This window comes from Homo sapiens, chromosome 4 (genome assembly GCF_000001405.40).
Source record: "Homo sapiens chromosome 4, GRCh38.p14 Primary Assembly".
In the NCBI taxonomy this organism is placed as follows: domain Eukaryota; kingdom Metazoa; phylum Chordata; class Mammalia; order Primates; family Hominidae; genus Homo; species Homo sapiens.
In genome coordinates, this window is record NC_000004.12 from 168,921,382 (window position 1) to 168,948,837 (window position 27,456).

Below are 27,456 nucleotides of genomic sequence, written 5' to 3' on the forward strand. Positions count from 1 at the left end.
GGGCAATAAGAGTGAAACTCTGTCCAAAAAAAAAAAAAAAAAAAAGCCACCTCTTGTACTACTGAAGGAGGAATTTATGCAGACTTCTTAGCTACCAGTGATTTCACTCTGTTTTAATACAAAAATTTACATGTATTTCTTTTATGATTTAGGTCAGTGGGTTACCAACCCCAGATCTAAGCTGGCAACTAGATGGAAAGCCCGTACGCCCTGACAGTGCTCACAAGATGCTGGTGCGTGAGAACGGGGTGCACTCTCTGATCATAGAGCCAGTCACGTCACGTGATGCCGGCATCTACACATGTATAGCTACCAACCGAGCAGGACAGAACTCATTCAGCCTGGAGCTTGTGGTTGCTGGTAGGCTCATCTGTGAATCCTTGCTCTCTGACAGAATGAACATCAGACTTACAAATGTAAACTAATTCTACATTACTAACCAATACGGAAAATAAAGTATTGAAAAAATAGATTGTATCATCAAAATAGCCAATGAGGACATGGTTATAAGGCCTAGCAAAACAGAAACAGAAATCTTTCATTTCTCCCACTAACCTGGCAAAGAGAGAAAAAGATTTTATTAGCTCTTTTGGGTCATTCGACCTCCTGTGTGTATAGTGGCCCCTAGTGTTACATAGAGAAATAGTAACAGCAGCATGGACTCCAAGAACCAAAGAATTTGCTTATATATAAAGTTTTATATTTATATATATATATATATACACACACACACACACACACACACACACACACACACACACACCTGGTTTTTAAAACAACACTGTCATCTACCCTCATAGTCATTGTCAAACTACACTCAGATTTGCTTTTTCACTGATTATTGTGTAGGTAAATTCTGTAAAAGTGCTGTTACATGAAGTCTTATGCTTTGAGAAGCCTAAAAGGAAAACACATTTATGGAAAGGTTTTTATACCATCCTTAAGAGTTAGGTGTTGAGTACCTGATCTCTTTTAAGAAAGAACATAACAAAACATTTATTTCTTCTACCTCTTTATGCAAAGTGCTTCATGTACATTATGTATCAGTTGGCCCTCACATGAGCCTTATGAGATAATCAGAGCAAATCTTCTCTGAATTTTCCAGGGTCCCACTTAGTAAGCTGATGATTAGATTTAACACAAGACTCCTAGTGCTCTTCTAAACACACTACGTCACTGAGCTCTTTCAAGAAATAGAGTAGCAATGAGAATAAAACCCAAGAAGTCTTGACAAAACTCTTGGATTATGATTCTGATAATGGTACCAAGATGTTTTCACATAAAAATGTGGTAAATATGTGGACTGTGGTGCTACAGGTTAGCCATGCTTTCAAGTTTTGTACAAAGTACTCTATATTCTTACATGCTACAATTGATTTCATTCCTCTAACCTCAAACTAAAACTTCACTTTTCTGCTGTTAAATATGCCTTTTGATCACATAGATACCTCAGTGCGCATCAGCTGGCACTCCTGTCAGAAGACGGTGATGCACAGTAATTGGAAGCAAAGTCTTTGGGGTCAGATCTGCTCCAGTCCCGGCTCTTGTCGATTTTACTAGTGTGACATTTGGCAAATAGCTATCTCTGCGACTTAGTTTCTCCATATATAAAATGGGAATATAATGCCTCACAGTGCTTTCCTAAGGATTAAATCATAAAAATGTGTATGAAGCTCTGCATAACTAGTACCCTGCACAGCAATGCTGCAAAGTGGTAGATGTTATTCTTACTGATGAGTTGCTATGACATTAAGACTTGTTTTATACATTTTATGTTCTTTGCAAAACTGGAGCCCCAGAAAGAATACAAAGTGAGCTTCTGTTCCCACTTCTCCCAGAATAGCCTAGGATGGGCAACCATGTAAAATTCAATAAAAATCCAACCTTCTAACTAACTCGTGGTGTTGGAGAGTATTAAGCATTTGAAAAGTTCAGGTAGAATTTTCATCCTTTTTGAGCTCTTTCCTAGCTGCTTTGCTGTGATATATCTGTCACTCCAGATGAGGGAGTAGTGGTGGAAAAGGAATGCATTCTCAGATTCATTGTTGGTAGTTCAAAAGAAAATAAGTAAACCTTATTCATTCTCTGAAGTACTTTCCACCACTACTACAACTGATCCAAGAAAACAATTTCCCATTGGATGGTATTATTCAGAGTGTTATTAACAATCAGTCCTGAATTTTTCAGAATAGTACTAAAGTTGTCTTTTTTTTTTAATGGGTTCCTTCCTTCAAGGTTATAATAAAGCTTTTTTATAACCTTCAAAGAATACAAAGTGGAATTTGTAATTTATAGGATATACATTCCTAGTTTACAGGTAACTATTTAAAGCTGCCAAATTTAGATAAAGATGCCTCCCCTTTAAATTGCCCCCTTTAAATTCTATGGCATGTCTCACTTAAGAGTTACAAATATTCAGAATATTCATGGCAAACATGGCAAACGGCAGTGAGGGAATCTAAGTGGTCAAATTCCTAGAAATACTTGTCCTCAGCACCACTAGGTGGCAGTAGTTGGTTGAGGCTGTGAATGATCGGTAACATAATCACTAGTAGTGAAGCCATCACAGATGCTAGCAATGACTTAGGAGTCTCCCACAGCTGGTCAGACAGGCATTCTGTGAAGCAGATGGCCAGTGGACAGTGTGAGCCTATCAGACTTGAATTAATTGAGGAAATAAATGAGCGGAATGAAGTATACAGACCTTTGCTTGGTAAAAGAATAATTTGGAGAGGGGACTAGCATCTTACCACCTGGAGTAAAAAATGGTATCATAAAAGATCTATTCAAGCAATATTCCAAAAGCCTTCTGAATTCTTTCTAGTGCTCCTTTTGTATATCATTGATAGAGAATTCATCTCATGTTTTCTTAGCTAAAGAAGCACACAAACCCCCTGTGTTTATTGAGAAGCTCCAAAACACAGGAGTTGCTGATGGGTACCCAGTGCGGCTGGAATGTCGTGTATTGGGAGTGCCACCACCTCAGATATTTTGGAAGAAAGAAAATGAATCACTCACTCACAGCACTGACCGAGTGAGGTAAGACTGCACAATGAGAACCTGATCCTTAACTGTTCAGTCCTAATGATGTATCAAAAGATACATTTTATATAGCATGGAAATCTATGTGTAAAAGCCACATAGATGTTTTGATTTTTGATGAAATCAATCAAAGACAAAAACCATGCGTTACCCAATGTAGGATTAAGCTTTTAGAAGGAAGCTATGGGTGTTTGATCTAATGGTGATTTCTTAAAAGTGTTTATCATTCTATCTAAAAGAAAAGATGAATTCATTTGCTTTAGTGATAAAAGACTATTCAGTGGTTTTTGTAAAGGCAGATCCTCAACTAGGAATTAAGCACACAGATGTATTCAACTCTTGACGTCTGTTCTTTCTCCCATTAACTTTAATGGAGCTAGTAATCTCTACAGAATAAGTATGACCCTATTATCAGCTACTTGCACAATTCTGTTTCTAATGATCTAATTAAAAATGATGCTTCATGTCCAAAGCCACTTTTAAAAAATTTAGAACCCTAATGACTTTATCCTTTTCTCCAGCATGCACCAGGACAACCACGGCTACATCTGCCTGCTCATTCAGGGAGCCACAAAAGAAGATGCTGGGTGGTATACTGTGTCAGCCAAGAATGAAGCAGGGATTGTGTCCTGTACTGCCAGGCTGGACGTTTACAGTGAGTGCCACTTCATCTCATTTCATTGCGTTTACTCATTAAATTATGAAAAATTAGACATCTGGACAGCAAATCACATTACTCTTTATAAACAACTATTGTGTTTTATTTGTCAAAAAAATTCATATTGCTCTCTCTCTCTTTCTATTTGTAGTTTCTCGACATTAATAGTGAACCACACCAGGAGAACAAATACCCAAGTATCATTCAGGAACTTTGAATTATTAGCAAAATATGCATGTTGATTTCTCTTACATTGGCTAGTTAGTTGTGGCTTCCTTACTCAAGCATCCTTAGGAGTTAACAGTAGGCAAAGGCATAACCATGTTTTTCACATGTTCTTGTTACTGTGTTCTGCAAATGACTGCCTTTTAACATTTCTTCCTATATTCTATCGCAGTGTCCTAATGCACTCTAAACGTGTGTTCCATTGATCCTGGAATGCGTACTTTTGTGGCTTAGTGCTTTTCTCATTAATATATCTTAAGCAGCCAGCAGTAGACTTGTGTTTGTATATTTGTGTACATGCATCCCAAATTTAAAGAAAATTATTCCTATTGAATTTACAGTCTAGTACAATCAGCATTATGTTATCCATTGACATAAAAAAAACACTAGAAAAAAATTAAGAATTTATTTAAGAATTTATTTCAGATTTTGCCTCTTCTTGAAATAACTATGTGAGGGTCATCAAGAAATGTGTGGCCTCAACCTTCCCTACTGTACGATTCCTTTCAGTTGATTAGTGTTAAAGCATCCACATCCAGCAGAATTCCTAAGTGCTATAATTATTTTAGAGAAAATATTTTTTAAAAGGAGAGGGGGGATGAGAATTAGGAAGCTTATCAGCTATTCCAAAGGATTCCCTGTGCTGCAGTGTTTACTTAAAAAAAAAAAAGATAAACTACACTTGACCTTTGTAATCTAGCTGCTTTATTCCCACTATCCTGTATAGACAGTAAATCTGCAACATGTGAGTAAAATGCAAAAGTGTTCCTAAATTTTCCATGTTTCTACCATGGATGTGTTCAGGTGCCTTGCATCTATCTAGACATTCTGTATTTATTTGAAATATCTAAAGGCTTTCCAAGTATATCTTGATTAAAAATCTTAATTTACTCTTTTTCTTTGTAGCCCAGTGGCATCAGCAGTCACAGAGCACCAAGCCAAAAAAAGTACGGCCCTCAGCCAGTCGCTATGCAGCACTTTCGGACCAGGGACTAGACATCAAAGCAGCGTTCCAACCTGAGGCCAACCCATCTCACCTGACACTGAATACTGCCTTGGTAGAAAGTGAGGACCTGTAATCCAGCATTCTTGTTAAAGCTGAAACACTGAAACAGCCATTGCCTTGACCAACATATTCCTTTGTCACATTATGTAAAAGGCAGAAACATACCTTTGACTATAAGAAATTAAAAAAAAAACACCAAAATAATATTTTTCTTACTTGATATACCAAACTTAGTTTAAGTAGATAATGCTAATACAAATATACACATTGCACAGAAAATACACATTTACTGTCCAATTTAAAACTTTGGAATTGCTGTGATTAAAGTGATCAAAATGCCAAAATACTAAAGGAAATCAATTGTTCACAGGTAACTACAATTTGTATTATCTACAAGTGCCTTTAAACACAAGATATAGGTGCTGTGTAGCCTGATAGTGTGAAATGTTTAATGAGGGAGTTGTACCACAAACAGTACTACAATGATTCTGAAGCACAGTGTATTCAGACAGATACAGTGAACCAAGTGCAATATGTAAGGATGAAAGAAGAAGAGATGACAAAGAAATCCAAGTAAATGCCTTGTCTTTGCAAATGTTTTTATATTAAATCATAAGGAAGGAACTACTTGCCTTAAATGTTAATATCAAAAGAGTTTTCTAACAAGGTTAATACCTTAGTTCTTAACATTTTTTTTCTTTATGTGTAGTGTTTTCATGCTACCTTGGTAGGAAACTTATTTACAAACCATATTAAAAGGCTAATTTAAATATAAATAATATAAAGTGCTCTGAATAAAGCAGAAATATATTACAGTTCATTCCACAGAAAGCATCCAAACCACCCAAATGACCAAGGCATATATAGTATTTGGAGGAATCAGGGGTTTGGAAGGAGTAGGGAGGAGAATGAAGGAAAATGCAACCAGCATGATTATAGTGTGTTCATTTAGATAAAAGTAGAAGGCACAGGAGAGGTAGCAAAGGCCAGGCTTTTCTTTGGTTTTCTTCAAACATAGGTGAAAAAAACACTGCCATTCACAAGTCAAGGAACCCAGGGCCAGCTGGAAGTGTGGAGCACACATGCTGTGGAGCACACATGCTGTGGAGATTGCAGTGTGTCTGAGGTTTGTGTAGTAGTGGAAGATTTTAGGTATGTAGAGCAAGTTGAAAATGGATTGAGACTGCATGGTGGCATAAATGAGAAATTGCCTGTAGCATCTAGTCTACTTGAAGGAAGTGGAGACATAAGGAGAGACAAAAACAGGTTTGTGCCATAAAGTATTTTTTCAAAGACACCAAGATGTGGTAAATGAAAATTATTAGTTCACTTCCCTGCTGCCATGAAACTTTGCCTTAAGAAGGTGCTGGATTCCAAGGTTTGTAAAGGCATCTCGGTAAAGACTGCTTTTTGAATGCATATGATTTTGCATCAGCTAGACTGAGTTGATTCTGACCAGACTTGATGGTTTTAAGTCGGAACCGATAAATTTTAAAAAGGAGAAAAAATAATTTGACCTAGTAGTATAAAACATGAGGCTTTAATGGTACTTTGCTATGAAAAGAAAACACTGTATTCCTTATGCAAAACACATGTATCTTTCATTATTTATAAGTGGCCTCTCTTAGCTCAGTTACTCAATTCATACGTAGTATTTTTTAAAATAATTTTATATCTGTGTACCACCCCATATATTTCATATTACTGTTTCACATGTACAGCTTTCTACTTCTTTGTAAGAACACCAACCAACCAAGGTTTAAGTGATTAATAGGCTTGAGCACCGGGTGGCAGATGTTCTATGCAGTGTGGTTCAAGTTTCTTTGACCGCACTTATATGCATTGCTAATATGGAATTTAAGATACCATACACAGTCTCTCATGGACCTATCTCTATTGTAGAATTATGACTTATGTCTTACTTGCCAAATTTTTCTGAATGTGACCTTTTTTTGCTGATTTGCTGGGTTTGGGATTAACTAGCATTATTTTGCCACCTTTATATTGTATTTATAAAAAAAAAAGTACTATCAATCAATCATACTACTTTGGATTGTTGTGCTGGTGTAATGTGGATTTAACATCAATAAATATTTGACAAATAATAGTTGCAGTTTTGTGAAGCAAAATAAATATTCAGTTTTAGTTTTCTGTTGCTGCCATAACAATTAGCATAAACTTTGAGTGATGTTTGAGGCTTCAGCATCACTCATTTATTACTCACAGTTCTGTAAATCAAGTTCGGGCAGGATGTAGCTGGGTTCTCTGTTCAGGATCTTATAAAGCTAAAATCATTGTATCAGCTGGACTGTATTCTCATCTGGAGCTCAAGATCCTCTTCAAAATTCAAGTGGTTGTGATAGCTCTGTGCAATTGTAGAAGAGACGTCTCCTTTAGTCCCTCAGCCAGGAGCTCTCTCTCTCAGCTCCTGAAGGCCGCCTGTATTCCTTGCCATGTAGCCCGCTCCATCTTCAGGGTTAGTGGTGAGAATCTCCTTCACCTCAGATCCCTCTCACACTTTCTCTTTGTCAAAGGCCCAGTCCCTTTTAAATTACGTCAGGCCCATCCAGATAATCTCCCTTTCTTAAAGTCACCTGACTTTGGGAACCTTAATTACATCTGCAAATCCCTTCAAAGCAGCAGCTAAATCGCCATTTGATTGGAATAACTGAGAGAAGGTGTGTATACACCAGAGGATGGGGATATTAGGGGCCATCTTACAGTTCTGCCTGCCACAGCAATGTACTGTAGGTATGCATGTAAATACACACCAGTGCCATGACGTACAAGGATACATAAAATACAGCAAGATGATATAAATTAAAAGTGAGGGGAAAAGGAAGAAAGTAAGTATAAATGGAACAAGGAATGAGATATTACACACACACACACACCCATATTCATATACACATATAGCATTAATATCTACATAGTTACAACAGACGGACAACATATTTGGGCCTAGGCTTTCCTACTACGGGAAAGAGAAAGCTGGTCATTTATCTAATTCACAGCCTCCATAAGGTGAAAATATTTCATCTTTTACATATGCAATATAATGGAGCTTTGAGGATACATTTGAATTAGACTAGAATTGTGTATTTCACATTGTCTTCTATACCCCATGACTTGCTATGTAGTTTACAAGATTCATTATATATTTTAATGCTGAATTTGTCCTTGATTTTCCCTTTTATGAACATGCATAACATGACAATCCCCTTGGCTTGCTCAGTAGCTACAACCTCCTTTATCATCATGTAAATTTAGTTTGACCCCTTTAAATTATAGAAATACAACTTCTATATTATGGTGGTGAGGAACTTGAGTGTTGGAGTTGGCCAACCAGGATTTGAATCCTAGCTCTTTTGATCATGTGTGACCCATAAGCAAGTTACTTTACCTCCCCAAGCCTCAGTTTCCTTATTTGGAAAATGGAGATTAAAATAGCACCCCTCTCTTTGTGCTGCTGTGAAGATTATATGGGATGATAATTTTGACATGGTACCTGGCACATAGTAAGAGCTCAATAAATTTCAGCTATTATTTTAGTGTAGTTGGAAACTAAAGTAAAATTTCAATTACAAAATGTGTACACACCTAACAAAATTCCACAGATGGTTAAAATTTGTGAACTTGGATGGGAAAAACATTACCCCCTAGCTGAAATTTAGAATTTCCTTCAATTATGAATGTAGGCAACAAAACACAACAGTATAAAATACCTGGGACTGTCCTAGTAAAAATTATATTACAAATATTGAAATATCTTAAAATCCATCTAAATTCAGCATTACTTCAAAATTATGGCAGTTGTTAGAGTTACCAATAGATGTAATTTATAGGCATTTGTATTATAAATTTGTTTTTAATACTTTGATAATTACTTAAAAATAATTTGTTTTATGTATTTTATGCCTCCATGAACATTATTTTGAGAAGGGATCCAGAAGATTTACCAGAGGGTCAAAAAGGCATATGGCACCAAAAAAATTAAGAACCAGGCCCTACAGAAGCTTAAATACGTAGAAAAGGATAAAAAATTTGAGGAAAGCCTAATTTGTCATTAGTAGAAGAAGGAACAAAACTAATTAATTCATACAATGAAATATTACTTACTATTCAGAGTTAAAGGTAAAGAAATGGATTTACTTCTATTGGCAGGGATAAATATGAAAAACAGCATTTGACGAGGAAGGGAAGTTACATAAGAGTGATGTCAGCAAGATGGCTGACTAGAGGTTCCTGGCATTCATCCCCCCAAGAAAGGATCAACAAATGAACAAACAGTTAACATTCAACTGAAGTGTCAAAGGAAGAGCACTGGAGTGCAGTGGGGGTAGCTGCGGTCACTGAAAGTCCAGAAGGCAGCATGGAGACACCTTGTCTCTGCTGCCCATGCCCCTGCATCCCCCAACTCTGACTGGCCTGGAGTCAAGAGGAGAAACTTTCCTTTGCTGGGAAAACGTAAGCAGAGCCCCATCAGCCCCCATTACCACTGCAAACACCTACAATCCTTACTACAGGAGAATTCCACAGTCCTCACAAGCCCTGAACCGACTTTAGAGAGCCACTGTCGATTGCACAGCTGCATTCCTCTGGATTAGGAACATGAGATATGTACTCTCCACCCCTTAGGTGCCTGCTGTGGGGCCCAGTAGCAAATGCACCTCTCCAGCCCAGCGGCTCTGTCATTCCACCAAGCACACATGGGTGGCTGCAATGCCACAACCCTGGAGGCTCAGAACCTGGGCCCAGGATTGGCTGTGACTCTGGTTCTGCACAGCAGGAAAACCAACCATCATTGCCTGAACTTCCAGGCAGAGAAACAGTCTAGCAAATTCTCCCAAAGCATACATACCTACCCTTGAGCTGGCCAAACTGGGCCCCTGAGCTGCTAAGCACCTGACATGCCCTCAGGCCAGAACCAGTACCAGCCTATCTCCTAAGCCTGAGAAACAGCCCAATGCCCCCTACCTCCATGGACATGCCTCCAGGCCTACCCAGTGGAACTGTGCCCAGGCTAGGGTATGAGAAACAGTCCAGTGGGCCCAATCCCAGCATACATGTCCCTAGACCTTCCCAGCAGCCCTGTGCCCATGCCCAGGGCCTGAGAAACAGCTTGGGAGATTAACTTCCAGTAGACACACCCCTGGGCCAGGTGAGCTGTCACATGACCATGCCCAGGGCCTAAGAAAGAGCCCCATGGGGTCAACCCCCATGGACACACCCCCTGGCTGGCTGAGAGGCACACCACTGTCCCAAGCCCAAGAAACAGCCCACTTGGCCCACCTCTGGCAGACACACCCCCAGGCCAAATGAGCATGCCTGTACCCAGGGCCTGAGAAACATCCCTGTGGCCCCAATCCCAGCAAGCAAGACCCCAAGTTGGTTGACACCGTTCACACACATGCCCCCAATTTGAGAAACAATCCAGTGAGCCCACCCCAGCAAAGCTGCACCACCACTGCTACAAATTCTCACAGCCTAGGCCACTGGGCACTTACAAACATCAGCAGACTGGATTACAGCTGAAGAATCTGCACAGACACTACAGTACTGCATCCACCTAGAACCAAAGCCAACACACCCCCCCTAACTGACACTATAAGATCCTCCAATACAAATACGTCTTTCCCTACAAAACCTTTCATCAAATTAGAAGAGGTGACTGTTCTACCAGATGCATAGAAATCAACATCAAGGAACATATCAAACATGAAAAAACAAGAAACCATGATACCTCCAAAAGAACACAATAATGCTCCAGTAACACACCTTAATCATAAGGAAATATGTGAAATGCCATAAAAAGAATTGAAAATAATAATCTTAAGGAAGCTCAGTGAGGTAAAGAGAATATAGCTAAACTGTTCCCTCAAATCAGGAAAGTAATTCATGATTTGAATGAGAAATTCAACAAAGAACATAAAAAAAAAAAACCCAACAGAAATCTTAGAGTTGAAGAATTCAATGAATAAAATAAAAAATGCAATCAAGAGCTTCAACAACAGATTAGACAAAGCAGGGGAAAGAATTTCTGAACTTGGAGGTAGGCCTTTTGAAATAACTCATGCAGACAAAAAAAAAAGAATAAAGAAAGCCTACAGAATGTATGGGACACTGTTAAGTGAACAAATATTTGCATTTTGGAACTCCAGATGGAGAAGAGAAGGAAAAAGGTATAGAAAACAGATTTAATGAAATCACAGCAAAAAACTTCCCAAGTTTTGGAAAAGAGATGAACATCTAGCTCTAAGAAGCTTAAAGTCCCCAAAGAGATTCAACCTAAACAGTTCCTCTCTGAGGCACATTATAGTCAAATTGTCAAAAGTCAAATACAAAGAAAGAATTCTAACAACAGCAAGAGAAAAACGTCAAGTCACATATAAGGGAATACCCATTAGGCCAACAGCAGATAGCAGAAACCTTACAGGCCGGGAAAAAAAGAAATAATATATTCAATGTACTAAAAGAAAAATATTGCCAGTAAAGAATATTGCTTTAATATTCTTTATTAAATATAAGCAAAGCTATTCCTCAGAAATGAAAGAAAATAAAGTCTTTTTCAGATATGCAAAAGCTAAGGGAAGACTAGCCTTACAAGAAACACTCAAGAGAGTTTTAGATCTGGAAGTGAAAAGACAATAACCACCACCATGATGAAAACAAATGAAATTATAAAATTCACTTGTAGAGCTGATATACAAAAGAGAAAGAGAAAGGAATCAAACCTTATCACTACAGAAAACCACTAAGCCACAAAAATAAACAATAAGGAGGATTAAAGAGAAAGGAATATACAACCGGAAAACCATCAATAAAACGACAAGAGTTAAGTCCTCACCTACCAATAAATAACCTTGAATGTAAATAAATTAAATTCCCCAATTAAAAGACGTTGAATGAATGAATGAATAAAAAAACCATGCAACTATATGCTGCCAAATAAAAACTCACCTCACCTGTAAAAGACACACAAAGACTGAAAGTGAAGGGATGGAAAAAAATAATCAATGCAAACAGAAACAAAAAGTGAGCAGAAGTAGCTATTCTTATGTCAGATAATACAGGCTATTTAAGTAAAAAGTGATAGAGACAAAGAAGGACATTATATAATAATAAAGGTATCAATTCAGCAAGAAGACATAACAATGGTAAATATATATGCACCCAACACTGAAGCACCCAGATATATAAAGCAAATATTATTAGATCTAAAAGGAGAGATAGACCTCAATAAAATAACAGTTGGGAACTTTAACACCCCACTTTCAGCACTGGACAGATCATCTAGACAGAAAATCAACAAAGAAACATTGGATTTAAACTGTACTACAGACTAAATGGACCTAACAGACACCTACAGAACATTTCACCCAACAGCAATAGAATACACATTCTTTTTATCAGCACATGGAACATTCTACAGGATTGACCATATATTAGGACACAAACCAAGCTCAAAAAATTTTTAAACACTGAAATCATATCAAGTGTCCTATCTGACCACAATGGAATAAAACTGGAAATCAATAACAAGAAGAATATTCAAAACTGTACAAATACATGGAAATTAAACAACATGCTCCTGACTGACCAATGGATGAAGGAAGAAATTAAGAAGTAAATTTTAAAATTCCTTGAAACAAATGAAAACAGAAACACAACATACCAAACCCTGTGTGATACAGCAAAAGCATGATTAAGAGAAGTTTACAGCAATAAACATCTATATCAAAAAAGTAAAAAGAGTTCTAATAACCGAATGATTCATCTTAAGAATCTAGGAAAAAACTGGGCATAGTGGTGCACACCTATAGCCCCAGCCACTCAGAAGGCTCGGGCCAGGTTGCTTTGAGGCCAGGAATTTGAGACTACAGCACACTCCAATTTGGCCTGTGAAAAGCCACTGGCAAGACCCAGTCTCCAAAACAAGTTTTAAAAGAAACTAGAAAAGCAAAAAAAACAAAAAAAAAAAAAAAAAAAAAAGCAAGCCAAACCCAAAATTAGCAGAAGGAAAGAAATAATAAAGATTAGAGTAGAATTAAACAAAATTGAGATTTAAAAATACAAAAGATCAACAAAAAGTTGGTTTTTTGAAAAAATAAACAAAATCAACTAGCCACTAGACTAAGAATACAGAGAGAAGACCCAAATAAACAAAATCAAAAACAAAAAAGGAGCTGTCACAACTGATACTACAGAAACACACAGGATCATTAGAATCTATCATGAACAACCATATGCCAATAAATTTAAAAACCTAGAGGAAATGGATAAATTCCTGGACACACAAGCTACCAAGACTGAACCAAAAAGAAACAGCCTGAACAGATCAATAAAAAGTAATGATAATAAATCAGTAATAAAAAGCCTCCCAACAAGGAAAAAACCAGGACTGGATGGCTTCTCAGCTAAATTCTACCAAACATTAAAAAAGAAAGAAAAAAAACTGCCAATTCTTCTCAAACTATTCCAAAAATTGAAGAGAAGGGAATTCTTCCAAACTTATTTTACAGGGCCAGCATAATTTTGACACCAAAACCAGATAAGGACATAACAAAAAAACAAAACTACAGACCAATATCCCTAATGAACATACATGCAAAAATCCTCAATATAATATTAGTAAATTCAATCTAACATCACATCAGAAAGATCATACACCGAAGATGGCCAAATGGGAACAGCTCCGGTCTGCAACCCCCAGCAAGATCAATGCAGAAGGCAGGTGATTTCTTCATTTCCAGCTGAGGTACCCAGCTCATCTCATTGGGACTGGTTAGATAGTGGGTGCAGCCCATGGAGGGCGAGCAGAAGCAGGGTGGGGTGTCACCTCACATGGGAAGTGCAAGGGGTGGAGGAACTCCCTCCCCTAGCCAAGGGAAGCCGTGAGGGACTGTGCCATGAGGGACGGTGCATTCCAGGCCAGATACCACGCTTTTCCCACGGTTTTTGCAACCATAGACCAGATGCCTGTGCCACCAAGGCCCTGAGTTTTAAGCACAAAACTGGGCAGCCATTTGGCCAGACACTGAGCTAGCTGCAGGAGTTTCTTTTCGTACCCCAGTGACTCCTGGAACACCAGCGAGACAGAACCATTCACTCCCTGGAAAGGGGGCTCAAGCTAGGGAGCCAAGTGGTCTAGCTCAGTGGATCTGACCCCCTATGGAGCCCAGCAAGCTAAGATCCACTGGCTTGAAATTCTCACTGCCACCAAGCATTCTGAAGTCGACCTGGGACACCCCAGCTTGGTGAGGGAGGGGTGTCTGCCATTACTGAGGCTTGAGTAGGCAGTTATCCCCTCACGGTATAAAAAAAAGCCTCCAGGAAATTTGAAATGGGCAGAGCCCACCACAGCTTGGCAAAGCCACTGTAGCCAGACTGCCTCTCTAGATTCCTCCTCTCTGGGCAGGGAATCTCTGAAAGAAAGGCAGCAGTCCCAGTCAGGGGCTCATAGGGAAAACTCCCATCTCCCTGAGACACAGCACCTGGGGGAAGGGGTGGCGGTGGGTGCAGCTTCAGCAGACTTAAACATTCCTGCCTGCCAGCTCTGAAGAGAGCAGCAGATCTTGCAGCACAGTGCTCAAGCTCTGCTAAGGGACAGACTGCCTCCTCAAGTGGGTCCCTGACCCCCATGCCTCCTGACTGGGAGACACCTCCTGACTGGGAGACGCCTCCCAGCAGGGGTCGACAGACATCTCATACAGGACAGCTCCAGCTGGCATCTGGTGGGTGCCCCTCTGGGACAAAGCTTCCAGAGGAAAGAACAGGCAGCAATCTTTGCTGTTCTGCAGCCTCCGCTGGTGATACCCAGGTAAACAGGGTCTGGAGTGGACCTCCAGCAAACTCCAGCAGACCTGCAGTAGAGGGCCCTGACTGTTAGAAGGAAAACTAACAAACAGAAAGGAATAGATTCAACATCAACAAAAAGGATGTCCACACCAAAACCCCATTTGAAAGTCACCAACATCAAATACCAAAGGTAGATAAATCCACGAAGATGGGGAGAAACCAATGCAAAAGGGCTGAAAATTGCAAAAATGAGAATGCCTCTTCTCCTCCAAAGGATCACAACTCCTCACCAGCAAGGGAACAAAACTGGACAGAGAATGAGTTTGACGAACTGACAGAAGTAGGCTTCAGAAGGTGGATAATAACAAACTCCTCCGAGCTGAAGGAGCACGTTCTAACCCAATGCAAGGAAGCTAAGAAGCTTGAAAAAAGGTTAGATGCATTGCTAACTAGAATAACCAGTTTAGAGAAGAACATAAATGACCTGATGGAGCTGAAAAACACAGCACGAGAACTTCGTGAAGTATACAAAAGTATCAACAGCTGAATCGATCAAGTGGAAGACAGGATATCAGAGATTGAAGATCAACTTAACGAAATAAAGCATGAAGACAAGATTAGAGAAAAAAGAATGAAAAGGAATGAACAAAGCCTCCAAGAATTAGGGAACTAATGTGAAAAGTCCAAACCTACGTTTGACTAGTGCACCTGAAAGTGACGGGGAGAATGGAACCAAGTTGGAAAACACTCTTCAGGATATTATCAAGGAGAACTTCCCCAACCTAGCAAGATAGGCCAACATTCAAATTCAGGAAATACAGAGAAAACAAAGATACTCCTCGAGAAGAGCAACCCCAAGATTCATAATCATCAAATTCACCAAGGTTGAAGAAATGAAGGAAAAAATGTTATCGGCAGCCAGAGAGAAAGATCCTCCTTTGGAGGATCACAAAAGGTCAGGTTACCCACAAGAGGAAGCCCATCAGACTAACAGCAGATCTCTCTGCAGAAACCCTACAAGCCAGAAAAGAGTGGGGACCAATATTCAACATTCTTAAAGAGAAGACTTTTCAACCCAGAATTTCATATCCAACCAAACTAAGCTTCATAAGCGAAGGAGAAATAAAATCCTTTACACACAAGCAAATGCTAAGAGATTTTGTCATCACCAGGCCTGACTTACAAGAGCTCCTGAAGGAAGCACTAAACATGGAAAGGAACAATTGGTCCCAGCAACTGCAAAAACATACCAAACTGTAAAGACCATCAACACTATGAAGAAACTGCATCAACTAACGGGCAAAATAACCAGCTAGCATCATAATGACAGGATCAAATTCACACATAATAATATTAACCTTAAATGTAAATGGACTAAATGCCCCAATTAAAAGACACAGACTGGCAAACTGGATAAAGAATCAAGACCCATCGGTGTCCTATATTCAGGAGACCCATCTCACGTGCAAAGACACACATAGGCTCAAAATAAATGGAAGAATATTTACCAAGCAAATAAAAAAAGCAAAAAAAAAAAAAAGTGGTTGCAATCCTAGTCTCTGATAAAACAGACTTTAAACCAACAAAGATCAAAAGAGACAAAGAACGGCATTACATAATGGTAAAGGGATCAATGCAACAAGAAGAGCTAACTATCCTAAATATATATGCACCCAATACAGGAACATCCAGATTCATAAAGCAAGTTCTTAGAGACCTACAAAGAGACTTAGACTCCCACACAATAATAGTGGGAGACTTTAACACCCCACTGTCAATACCAGACAGATCAACAAGACAGAAAATTAACAAGGATATTCAGGACTGGAGCTCAGCTCTGCACCAAGTAAACCTAACAGACATCTACAGAACTCTCCACCCCAAATCAACAGAATATACATTCTTCTCAGCACCATATCACAGTTATTCTAAAATTTATCACATAATTGGAAGTAAAACACTCTTAGGCAAATGCAAAAGAATGGAAATCATAACAAACAGTCTGTCAGACCACAGTGCAATCTAATTAGAATTTAGGATTAAGAAACTCACTCAAAACCACGTAATTACATAGAAACTGAACAACCTGCTCCTGAATGACTACTGGGTAAATAACAAAATTAAGGCAGAAATAAATAAGTTCTTTGAAACTAACGAGAACAAAGACACAATGTACCAGAATCTCTGGGACACAGCTAAAGCAGTATTTAGAGGGAAATTTATAGCACTAAATGCCCACAAGAGAAAGCAGGAAAGATCTAAAATCAACACTCTAACATCCCTATGAAAAGAACTACAGAAGCAAGCACAAATAAATTCAAAAGCTAGCAGAAGACAAGAAATAACTAAGATCAGAGCAGAATTGAAGGAGATAGAGACACGAAAAATCCTTCAAAAAATCAATGAATCCAGAAGCTGGTTTTTTGACAAGATCAACAAAATAGACCACTAGCCAGGCTACTAAAGAAGAAAAAAGAGAAGAATCAAATAAACGCAATAAAAAATGACACAGGGGATATCACCACCAATCCCACAGAAATACAAACTACCATCAGGGAATCCTATAAAAACCTCTATGCAAATAAACTAGAAAATCTAGAAGAAATGGATAAATTCCTGGACACATAAACCCTCCCAAGACTAAATCAGGAAGAATAGACCAATAACAAGTTCTAAAGTTGAGGCAGTAATTAATAGCCTAACAACCAAAAAAAGTCCAGGACTAGACGGATTCACAGCCAAATTCTACCAGAGGTACAAAGAAGAACTGGTACCATTCCTTCTGAAACTATTCTAAACAATAGTAAAAAAGGGAATCCTCCCTAACTCATTTTATGAGGCCAGCATCATCCTGATACCAAAACCTGGCAGAGACAAAACAAAAAAAAGAAAATTTCAGGCCGATATCCCTGATGAACATCGTTGCAAAAATCCTCAATAAAATACTGGCAGACAGAATCCAGCAGCACATCAAAAAGCTTATCTACCACGATCAAGTCGACTTCATCCATGGGATGCAAGGCTGCTTCAACATATGCAAATCAATAAACGTAATCCATCACATAAACAGAATCAATGACAAAAACCACATGATTATCTCAACAGATGCAGAAAAGGCCTCTGACAAAATTCAACACCCCTTCATGCAAAAAACTCTCAATAAACTAGGTAGTGATGGAATGTATCTCAAAATAATAAGAGCTATTTATGACAAACCCACAGCCAATATCATACTGAACGGGAAAAAGCTGGAAGCATTCCCTTTGAAAACCGGCACAAGACAAGAACGCCCACTCTCACCACTCCAATTCAACATAGTACTGGAAGTTCTGGACAGGGCAATCAGGCAAGAGAAAGAAATAAAGGGTATTCAAATAGGAAGAGAGGAAGTCAAATTTTCTGTTTGCAGATGACATGATTGCATATATAGAAAACCCCATTATCTCAGTCCAAACTCTTCTTAAGCTGATAAGCAACGTCAGCAAAGTCTCAGGATACAAAATCAGTGAGCAAAAATCACAAGCATTCCTATACACCAATAACAGAGAGCCAAGACGTGAGTGAACTCCCATTTGCAATTGCTACAAAGAGAATAAAATACTTAGGAACCCAACTTACAAGGGATGTGAAGGATCTCTTCAAGGAGAACTACAAACCACTGCTCAACGAAATAAGAGAGGACACAAACAGATGGAAAAACATTCCATGCTCATGGATAGGAAGAATCAATATCATGAAAATGGCCATACTGCCCAAACTAATTTATAGATTCAATGCTATCCCCATCAAGCTACCACTGACTTTCTTCACAGAATTAGAAAAAACTACTTTAAATTTCATATGGAACCAAAAAAAGAGCCCGCATAGACAAGACAATCCTAAGCAAAAAGAATAAAGCTGGAGGCATCATGCTACCTGACTTCAAACTATACTATAATGCTACAGTAATAAAAACAGTCTGGTACTGGTACCAAAACAGATATATAGACCAATGGAACAGAACAGAGGCCTCAGAAATAACACCACATATCTATAACCATCTGATCTTTGACAAACCTGACTAAAACAAACAATGGGGAAAGAATTCCTTATTTAATACATGCTGCTGGGAAAACTGGCTAGCCATATGCAGAAAACTGAAACTGAACCCCTTCCTTACACCTTATACAAAAATTAACTCAAGAGGAATTAAAGACTGAAATGTAAGACCTAAAACCATAAAAACCCTAGAAGGAAACCTAGGCAATACCATTCAGGACACAGGCATGGGCAAAGACTTCATTACTAAAATACCAAAAGCAATGGCAACAAAAGCCAAAATTGACAAATGGGATCTAATTAAACTAAATAGCTTCTGCACAGCAAAATAAACTATCATCAGAGTGAACAGGCAACCTACAGAATAGGAGAAAATCTTTGCAATCTACCCATCTGACAAAGGGCTAATGTCCAGAATCTACAAAGAACTTAAACAAATTTACAAGAAAAAAAAAACATCAAAAAGTGGGTGAAGAATATGAACAGACACTTCTCAAAAGAAGACATTTATGCAGCCAACAAACATATGTAAAAAAGCTCATCATCACTGGTCATTAGAGAAATGCAAATCAAAACCACAATGAGATATCTCATGCCAGTTAAAATGGCAATCATTAAAAGTCAGGAAACAACAGATGCTGGAGAGGATGTGGAGAAATAGGAACACTTTTACACTGTTGGTGGGAGTGTAAATTAGTTCAACCATTGTGGAAGACAGTGTGGCGATTCCTCAAGGATCTAGAACCAGAAATACCATTTGGCCCAGCAATCCCATTACTGGGCATATACCCAAAGGATTATAAATCATTCTACTATAAAGACAACGCACACGTATGTATACTGCAGCACTGTTCACAATAGCAAAGACTAGGAACCAACCCAAATGACCATCAATGATAGCTGGAAACCATCATTCTCAGCAAACTAACACAATAACAGAAAACCAAACACCACATGTTCTCACTCATAAGTGGGAGTTGAAAACACATAGACACAGGGAGGGGAACATCACACACCACAGCCTGTCGGGGGTGGGGGCCTGGGGAAGGGATAGCATTAGGAGAAAGACCTAATGTAAATGACCAATTGATGGGTGCAGCAAACCACCACAACACATGTATACCTATGTAACAAACCTGCACGTTCTGATGTATCCCAGAATTTAAAGTACAATAAAAAAATTTTTTTAAAAAGATTATACACCATGATCAAGTAGGATATATCCCAAGGATACAAAGATGGTTCAGTATATGCAAATCAGTAAACATGATACATCACATTGACAAAATAAAGGACAAAAACCATATGATCCTCTCAACAGATACGGAAAAAGCATTTGGTAAAATTCAACATCCCTCTACACAAACATCAACTAAAATGGATCAAATTCAACATCAAAATCCTAACTGAAAAATAAAAAAAGATACATACCCAGTAATGGGATTGCTGGGTCAAATGGAATTTCTGGTTCTAGATCCTTAAGGAATCACCACACTGTCTTGCACAATGATTGAACTAATTTACACTCCCACCAACAGCGTAAAAGCCTTCCTATTTCTCCACAGTCGCCCCAGCATCTGTTGTTCCCCGACTTTTTAATAATGCCATTCTAAATGGCATAAGATGGTATCTCACTGGGGTTTTGATTTGCATTTCTCTAATGACCAGTGATGATGAGCTTTTTTATATAGTTAGTTGGCCACATAAATGTTTTCTTTTGAGAAGTGTCTGTTCATATCCTTCAAAGGATTATAAATCATTCTACTATAAAGACACATGCACATGTATGTTTACTGCAGCCGTATTTACAGTAGCAAAGACTTGGGAACCAACCCAAATGCCCATAAATGATAGACTCGATAAAGAAAATGTGGCACATATATACCATAGAATACTATGCAGCCATAAAAAAGAATGAGTTCATGTCCTTTGCAGGGACATGGATGAAGCTGGAAGCCATCATTCTCAGCAAACTAACACAGGAACAGAAAACCAAACACCACATGTTCTCACTCACAAATGGGAGTCGAACAATAAGAACTCATGGACACAGGGAGGGGAACATCACAAACCAGGGCCTGTTGGGGGGTGGGGAGCAAGGGGAGGGAGAGCATTAGAACAAATACCTAATGCATGAGGGGCTTAAAACCTAGATGATGGGTTGATAGGTGCAGCAAACCACCATGGCACATGTATACCTATGTAATAAACTTGCACGTTCTGCACATGTAATCCCAGAATTTAAAGTACAATTTAAAAAAAAAGAAAAAGAAAACAAAGAAAAAAGAAATTTTAAAATTCCACATTCAAATCCTAATTGAAAAAGAAAAAATAATGGATCAAAGGCCTAAATGTAGGACTCAAAATTACAAAACAACTAGAAGAAAACATTGAGAAGATGCTTCAGGACATTGGTCTAGAAAAAGATTTTATGAGTAAGACCTCAAAAGCACAGGAAACTAAAATATAAATAAATATTATTAAATCAAACCAAAAGCTTGCGCACGGCAAAGGAAATAATCAACACAGTGAACAGACAACCTACACAATGGAAGAAAATATCTGCAAACTCTTCACCTGACAGGGGATTAATATCCAGAATATGCAAAGAATTCAAACATTTCAACAGCAAAAATATTTTTTATTAAAAAATAGGCAAGGGATCTGAACGGATATTTCACAAAAGAAGACATAGAAATGACCAACTAATATATGAAAAAATTCTCAACATCACTAATCAAGGAAATGAAAATCAAAACCATAATGAAATATCATCTCATCCTAGTTAGAATGGCTATTAACAAAAAGAAAAAATAATAATAAGTTCTGCCAAGAAGGTAGAGAAACAGGAACTCATGCACTGTTGGTGGGAATGTAGACTAGCACAACCTCTATGGAGTACAGTATGGAGATTCCTCAAAAAACTACAAAGAGAACTACCATACGATTAAGCAATCCTACCAGTGGACATTTATCCAAAAGAAAGGAAATCAATATATCAGAGATATCTGCACCCTACTGACAATAGTGCCACCTATAGGCCTGAAGGTCAAACTACACAACCCAATACAAAGCCGCTGACAAAAGGGTACAGCACTGGAGAATGAGACAAGCTTCCTGAGACCTCTGCAACCCCAGCCCTGTAGAAGGTAGTGAGCCAGCTCATACACCCAGTACATCACTACTACAACTGGCATTTGAGAAAGCCACCGCACAAAGGCTATCAATAACCAAGGAACTCATACAGGGTCCTTTCCACTGAAAGCACCCAGGAGCAAAGCCAAATGACCATACTCAACATACATTATAGTCATGCTTGAGAAAGCTAACTCAGCCATTGGTAAGTTGAGCAGAGCTCTAAAAGGTCCTCCATAATCTTTTACATCATAACCATCAAAATATGCCGGGAGTGAACAACTTCCAGCCCAAGTATCAGAGAGAAGTTGAACATGTGAATGGGGAACTAAACAACCACTACAGGCTGGGCATGGTGGCTCATGCCTGTAATTCCAACACTTTGGGAGGCTGAGACGGGTGGATCACCTGAGGTCAGGAGTTCAAGACTAGTTTGGCCAACATGGTGAAACCCCATCTCTACTAAAAATACAAAAATTAGTTGGGCATAGTGGCACGCACCTGTAGTCCCAGCTACTCAGGAAGCTGAAGTAGGAGGATCGCTTGAACCCGAGAGGTGGGGGCTGCAGTGAGCCGAGACGGAGCTACTGCACTCCAGCCTGGGTGAAAGAGGGAAACTCTGTCTCAAAACAAAACAAAACAAAAACAAAAAACAAAACGCCTCTGATAATGCAATACCATTTTACAAGAATATGACAGAAAGTATTGAACAGGGAGACTCTACAAGATTTCAAGCAATCAAAGGCTAATAAATGCTTTTTAGTACTTTTTAAATTTATAAAATGTTGACTTTCCCTTTTGAAAAAGTATCTTAATTATTTTAGCAAACACTAAAATACTTCTATTTTTATGAGTTCACTCATAAAGTTTTGAGTTTTTACCTGAGTGTAGTGGTTCACACCTGTAATCCTACCACTTTGGGAGGCCGAAGTGGGAGGATGGCTTGAAGCCAGGAGTTTGAGACCAGCTTAGGCAATGTAGTGAGACCCCCCATCTCTAAAAATAAAGAAATAAATAAAATAAAATAAAAAATAAATAAATTAGCCAGGCGTGGGCCTGGTGGTGCTGCTTGTAGTCCCAGCTATTCAGGAGGCTATGGCAGAAGGATTGCTTGAGCCCAGGAGTTTGAAGTTACAATGAGCCATGATCACATCACTACACTCCAGCCTGGGAGACAAAGTGAGACCCTGCCTCTAAAAAGAAAAGAAGAAAATTTAAAAAAAAGAGAGAAAAGAAAAGAAAAAAGTTTTATGAGTTTACTCTCAATCTGAGTCGCGCAACCTTATTTTTCTTATGAGATCTTAAGTTCCTCAACCATAAGGGATAGTTTAATAATGAATTTAGACAATATATACATTTTCATAAACTGTATTTCTTCAAAAGAAAAGAACATGGAAGAATTTAATAGGAAAAAAAGTGTCACAGATAATTCTTTTCGTGTTTATAAAGAATTGGACAAGATGATGTTTAATGCCAACATGCCTCTAAAGTGCAATGGAATTTATGTGTATTCATTTATATTCCTATGTGGTCTAGTTTTCAATTGTTTCTTACTGACTCTCATAAATACAGCCTGTCAAGCAAATAAAACCAGAAATATCAATCATAAACTTGTGCTGTTCAGAGCATGTGACATTTCATGACTTCATTTGTAGCATGTGACATTTTGTTTTATTCATATTCTCTGTTAAAACCTTATCTAATTAAAGAGTTTGCCTACTTCACTAGAAATAACTGTGTTAGACAATAACCATTCTTTCACTAAATTCCTTCTTTTGGAAAGTTTTAAGGTTAGCTCCTGTATACAGCAGTACTCCAAGTGTGACCCCCAGTCTATCAGGAACTTCCTAGAAATGCAAATTCCTGAACACTACCCCAAACCTACTGAATCAGAACCTCTTGAGAGTGGAGCCCAGCACTCTGCATTTTAACAAACCTTCTAGATGACTCTAATACACACCAAAGCTTAAGAACCACTGTCTTAGGAGGATCAGGTATCTTAATTCCCTCCCTGCTCAATTGATACTAAGGTCTGAATTTATCCACTGTATTCTCAAGAACCTCGAAGAATCTCTACAAAGTTAGTAATAAATAATCTTCCTTCAGGAAAGACAGTGGTATTTGCACATGGTTCTTTACAGTTACTTGGTGAGAACAACAGACCAAGACAGTCTGTTCTCTGCTAATGAGATTATCTTCAGGGGGCCTTAGGAACTTTGTTTTTCTTGATCTGCTGAATTGGTGGTTACTGCTTCAGCAGAGGCAGCCTCACTTGATTTGTTCAGGCTCCCAAGGATGCTGGATAATATCACTAGAATCCTTCCCCGTGTGAGAATGAGGATTATCTGATGGGAAAGGCAAAGCCTCTCTAAGGACATGCATTTATCCCATGAAAATAATATACTACCACAAAATACAAATAAATGCTAGAGAAACAACCATTTAAATGGCACTGCTGGGATTTCCAGTTAAAGGTAGTACCTTGAGCCCTACTATGTCCCCAAACAACAACAAAAACTTAGACAATTTTGTGTTTATTTTTTAAAGGCATAAATCCAAAAGAACAAGAAAGAAGAGGAGACAAACGCTAGAAAGCAGATGGGAGTTAGGCACTAACTTACAGCAGACCCGCAAAGCTGAATTTTGGCCAGAAATAGGAAAAAGTGAAAAACAACCAAACTTCCATGACAGAATTCCTAAAAGACAATAAAATTAGTTGATTTTGGTACTTCTGCAAGTCAACAGAAGGGCACTGCTTAAAAGAGCAATTAGACTTCTCTCATCCTCTCCTATACCTTGCATAGGAGACGGAACCTTAAAATATAAGCTTCCTTGGCTGAGAGATACCAGGAATAGTTTATTACAGACTACCATGCTAACAACTGAGGAATAAAATGAAAGTTTACAGCTTTCTTCCCTCTTTGGGTTCCAGAATGCTGCTAGTTAGAAGACTGATGGTCAGGAATGTTGACAGTCAGCTTTCCAGGCAGGAGAGTCTTCTCTGGAGAATCTGACCAGTCAAGAGAAAAACAGCTATAACAATGGTTCTCAAAGTATGGTCCAGGAACTCCAAAGATTCCCTCCTCTCAGAGCCTGAGCAAGGTCAAATCTATTTGCAAAATAATACTACAATGTCATTTGCCTGTTTTACTCTAATTCTCTCAAAAGTTCACAGTGGAGTTTTCAAATGCTGCACCATGTGTGATACTGTAAGATATTGAAGGCAGAAACAGATGTGGATCCACCTGTCTTTTATTAAGCTGGACATTAAAATGATCCACAAAAATGTAAAGTAATGTCACTCTTCCAATATGTTACTTTAAAAAATAGAGTCATTTTTCATTAAAAATAGATTATCTATGTTAGCATGTAACGGGTTTACTCTTGTTATTTTTGATGAATAAATATTTTGAAATTCAATTTTAATTTCTATTAGTAAATATTGACAAATGTAACCCACATAAACAAAAGTTCTCTGTGGTCCTCAGTCATTTTTTAAGCATGTAAAATGGTCCTGCGACCAAAGCATTTGAGAACTGATGAGCTAAAGAAACTGACATTGGGGTTCCAGCAGTTAAAAAGTCTGTCCACATACACCATCCCACAGTGAAGACTACTACCCGCAATCCCAACTACGCACATGGAGCTTCCAATCTGCTTTTAAAAATTACTTTAAAACACAGATACAGAAAACCACATAAAACAAATATATACCTTAGCAATTTATTATAAGGCTAACAATCTTGAAATTATCATCCTCAAGAAATAAAACTTTGCCAGACACCTCAGAAGTCCCTCTACATGCCTCATAGACATAGAGTTTAGTCGTGCCCCTGTCATGTTTTTTTTTAAATTGGGTAAGATATACAATGTAAAATTTACCATCTTAATCACTTTGAATGTACAGTTTGGTTTACCCGTTTTAAAATTTAATAAGTTTCTATAGTTTCTTTTAGTCTAAAAATTCCTTCCCATCACTTTCTTTTTCTTACAATTTATCTATTGATAAAAGCAGACTGGGCCAGTAGAGTGTTCTGCACCCTGAATTTTGCTGATTACTCATGGTGCAATTCCGTATGTTCCTCTGTCCTCAATGTTTCTTTTCTTTTCTTTTTCCCCATAGGTTACTGGGGTACAGGTGGTGTTTGGTTACATGAGTAAGTTCTTTAGTGGTGATTTGTGAGATTTTGGTGCAGCCATCACCCGAGCAGTACACACTGCACCCTATTTGTAATCGTTTATTCCTCACCCCTCTCCCATCCTTCTCCCCAAGTCCCCTAAGTCCACTGTGTCATTCTTATGCCCTTGCGTCCTCATAGCTTAGCTCCCACATATCAGTGAGAACATATGATGTTTGGTTTTCTATTCCTGAGTTACTTCATTTAGTATAACAGTCTCATCCAGGTTGCTGTGAATGCTATTAATTCATTCCTTTTTATGGCTGAGCAGTATTCCACCGTACATATATATCACAGTTTCTTCATCCACTCATTGATTGATAGACATTTGGGTTGGTTCCACGATTTTGCAATTGTGAATTATGCTGCTATAAATGTGTGTGCAAGTATCTTTTTCATATAATGACTTCTTTTCCTCTGGGTAGATACTCAGTAGTGGGATTGCCAGATCAAATGGTAATCCTACTTTTAGTTCTTTAAGGAATCTCCACACTGTTTTTCATAGTGGTTGTACTAGTTTACATTCCCACCAGCAGTGTAGAAGTGCTCCCTGATCACCGCAGCCATGCCAACACCTACTGTTTTTTGATTTTTTCATTATGGCCATTCTTGCAGGAGTAAGGTGGTATCACACTGTGGTTTTGATTTGCATTTCCCTGATCATTAGTGATGTTGAGCATTTTTTCGTATGTTTGTTGGCCATTTGTATATCTTCTTTTGAAAACTGTCTATTCATGTCCTTAGCCCACTTTTTGATGGGACTGTTTGTTTTTATCTTAATGAGTTCACTGTAGATTCTGGATATTAGTCCTTTGTCAGATGTATACATTGTGAAGATTTTCTCCCACTCTGTGGGTTGTCTGTTTAGTCTGCTGACTGTTCTTTTTGCCATGCAAAAACTCTTTAGTTTAAGTCCCAGCTATTTATCTTTGTTTTTATTGCATTTGCTTTTGGGTTCTTGGTCATGAAATCCTTACCTAAGCCAATGTCTAGAAGGGTTTTTCCAATGTTATCTTCTAGAATTTTTATGGTTTCAGGTCTTAGATTTAAGTCCTTAATCCATCTTGAGTTGATTTTTGTATAAGGTGAGAAATGAGGATCCAGTTTCACTCTCCTACATGTGGCTAGCCAATTATCCCAGCACCATTTGTTGAAAAGGGTATCCCTTCCCCACTTTGTTTTTGTGTGCTTTGTCGAAGATCAGTTGGCTGTTAAGTATTTGGGTTTATTTCTGGGTTCTCTATTCTGTTCCATTGGTCTATGTGCCTGTTTTTATACCAGTACCATGCTGTTTTGGTGACTATGGCCTTATGGTATAGTTTGAAATCAGGTAGTGCGATACCTCCAGATTTGTTCTTTTCATTTAGCCTTGCTTT

General features: G+C 38.4%; 2 protein-coding genes across 33 annotated transcripts in view, besides 1 other annotated feature; one reads left to right on the top strand and one right to left on the bottom strand.

Moving 5' to 3' along the window:
• Positions 1-7,060, top strand: part of PALLD (palladin, cytoskeletal associated protein) — a 431,390-nt gene extending 424,330 nt beyond the window's left edge. For 19 of the 27 annotated variants that reach the window (XM_011531768.3, XM_011531769.3, XM_011531771.3 and 16 more), the window contains 4 exons: positions 153-360; positions 2,874-3,039; positions 3,564-3,697; positions 4,832-7,060. In XM_011531768.3, the coding sequence (XP_011530070.1) occupies positions 153-360; positions 2,874-3,039; positions 3,564-3,697; positions 4,832-5,004 (681 nt within the window). In that variant the 3' untranslated portion in view covers positions 5,005-7,060. Of the gene's footprint in view, positions 1-152; positions 361-2,873; positions 3,040-3,563; positions 3,698-3,851; positions 3,904-4,831 lie in introns of those variants that run through there. The other 8 variants (NM_001166108.2, NM_016081.4, NM_001367570.1 and 5 more) reach the window with 2 other exon arrangements.
• The window catches only part of CBR4 (carbonyl reductase 4), a 115,770-nt gene that overhangs the window by 26,896 nt on the left and 61,418 nt on the right, over positions 1-27,456 (bottom strand). For 2 of the 6 annotated variants that reach the window (XR_007057980.1, XR_001741341.2), the window contains exon 6: positions 7,156-7,296. The exons of 2 other annotated variants lie outside the window; for them this stretch is intronic. Coding sequence is in view for 2 of the 4 variants with exons in the window: in XM_047416331.1 (XP_047272287.1) it covers positions 7,271-7,296 (26 nt within the window). In the remaining 2 variants the exon portion in view is untranslated. Of the gene's footprint in view, positions 1-7,006; positions 7,297-27,456 lie in introns of those variants that run through there. 2 more of the 6 variants (XM_047416331.1, XM_017008783.3) reach the window with 1 other exon arrangement.
• Positions 9,447-9,948: an enhancer, noted in NCBI's record as "H3K4me1 hESC enhancer chr4:169851979-169852480 (GRCh37/hg19 assembly coordinates)". NCBI's record gives its function as "activates a minimal SCP1, AML or CMV promoter by ChIP-STARR-seq in primed H9 embryonic stem cells {active_cell/tissue: H9 hESC(primed)}" and the evidence as "EXISTENCE:reporter gene assay evidence [ECO:0000049][PMID:30033119]".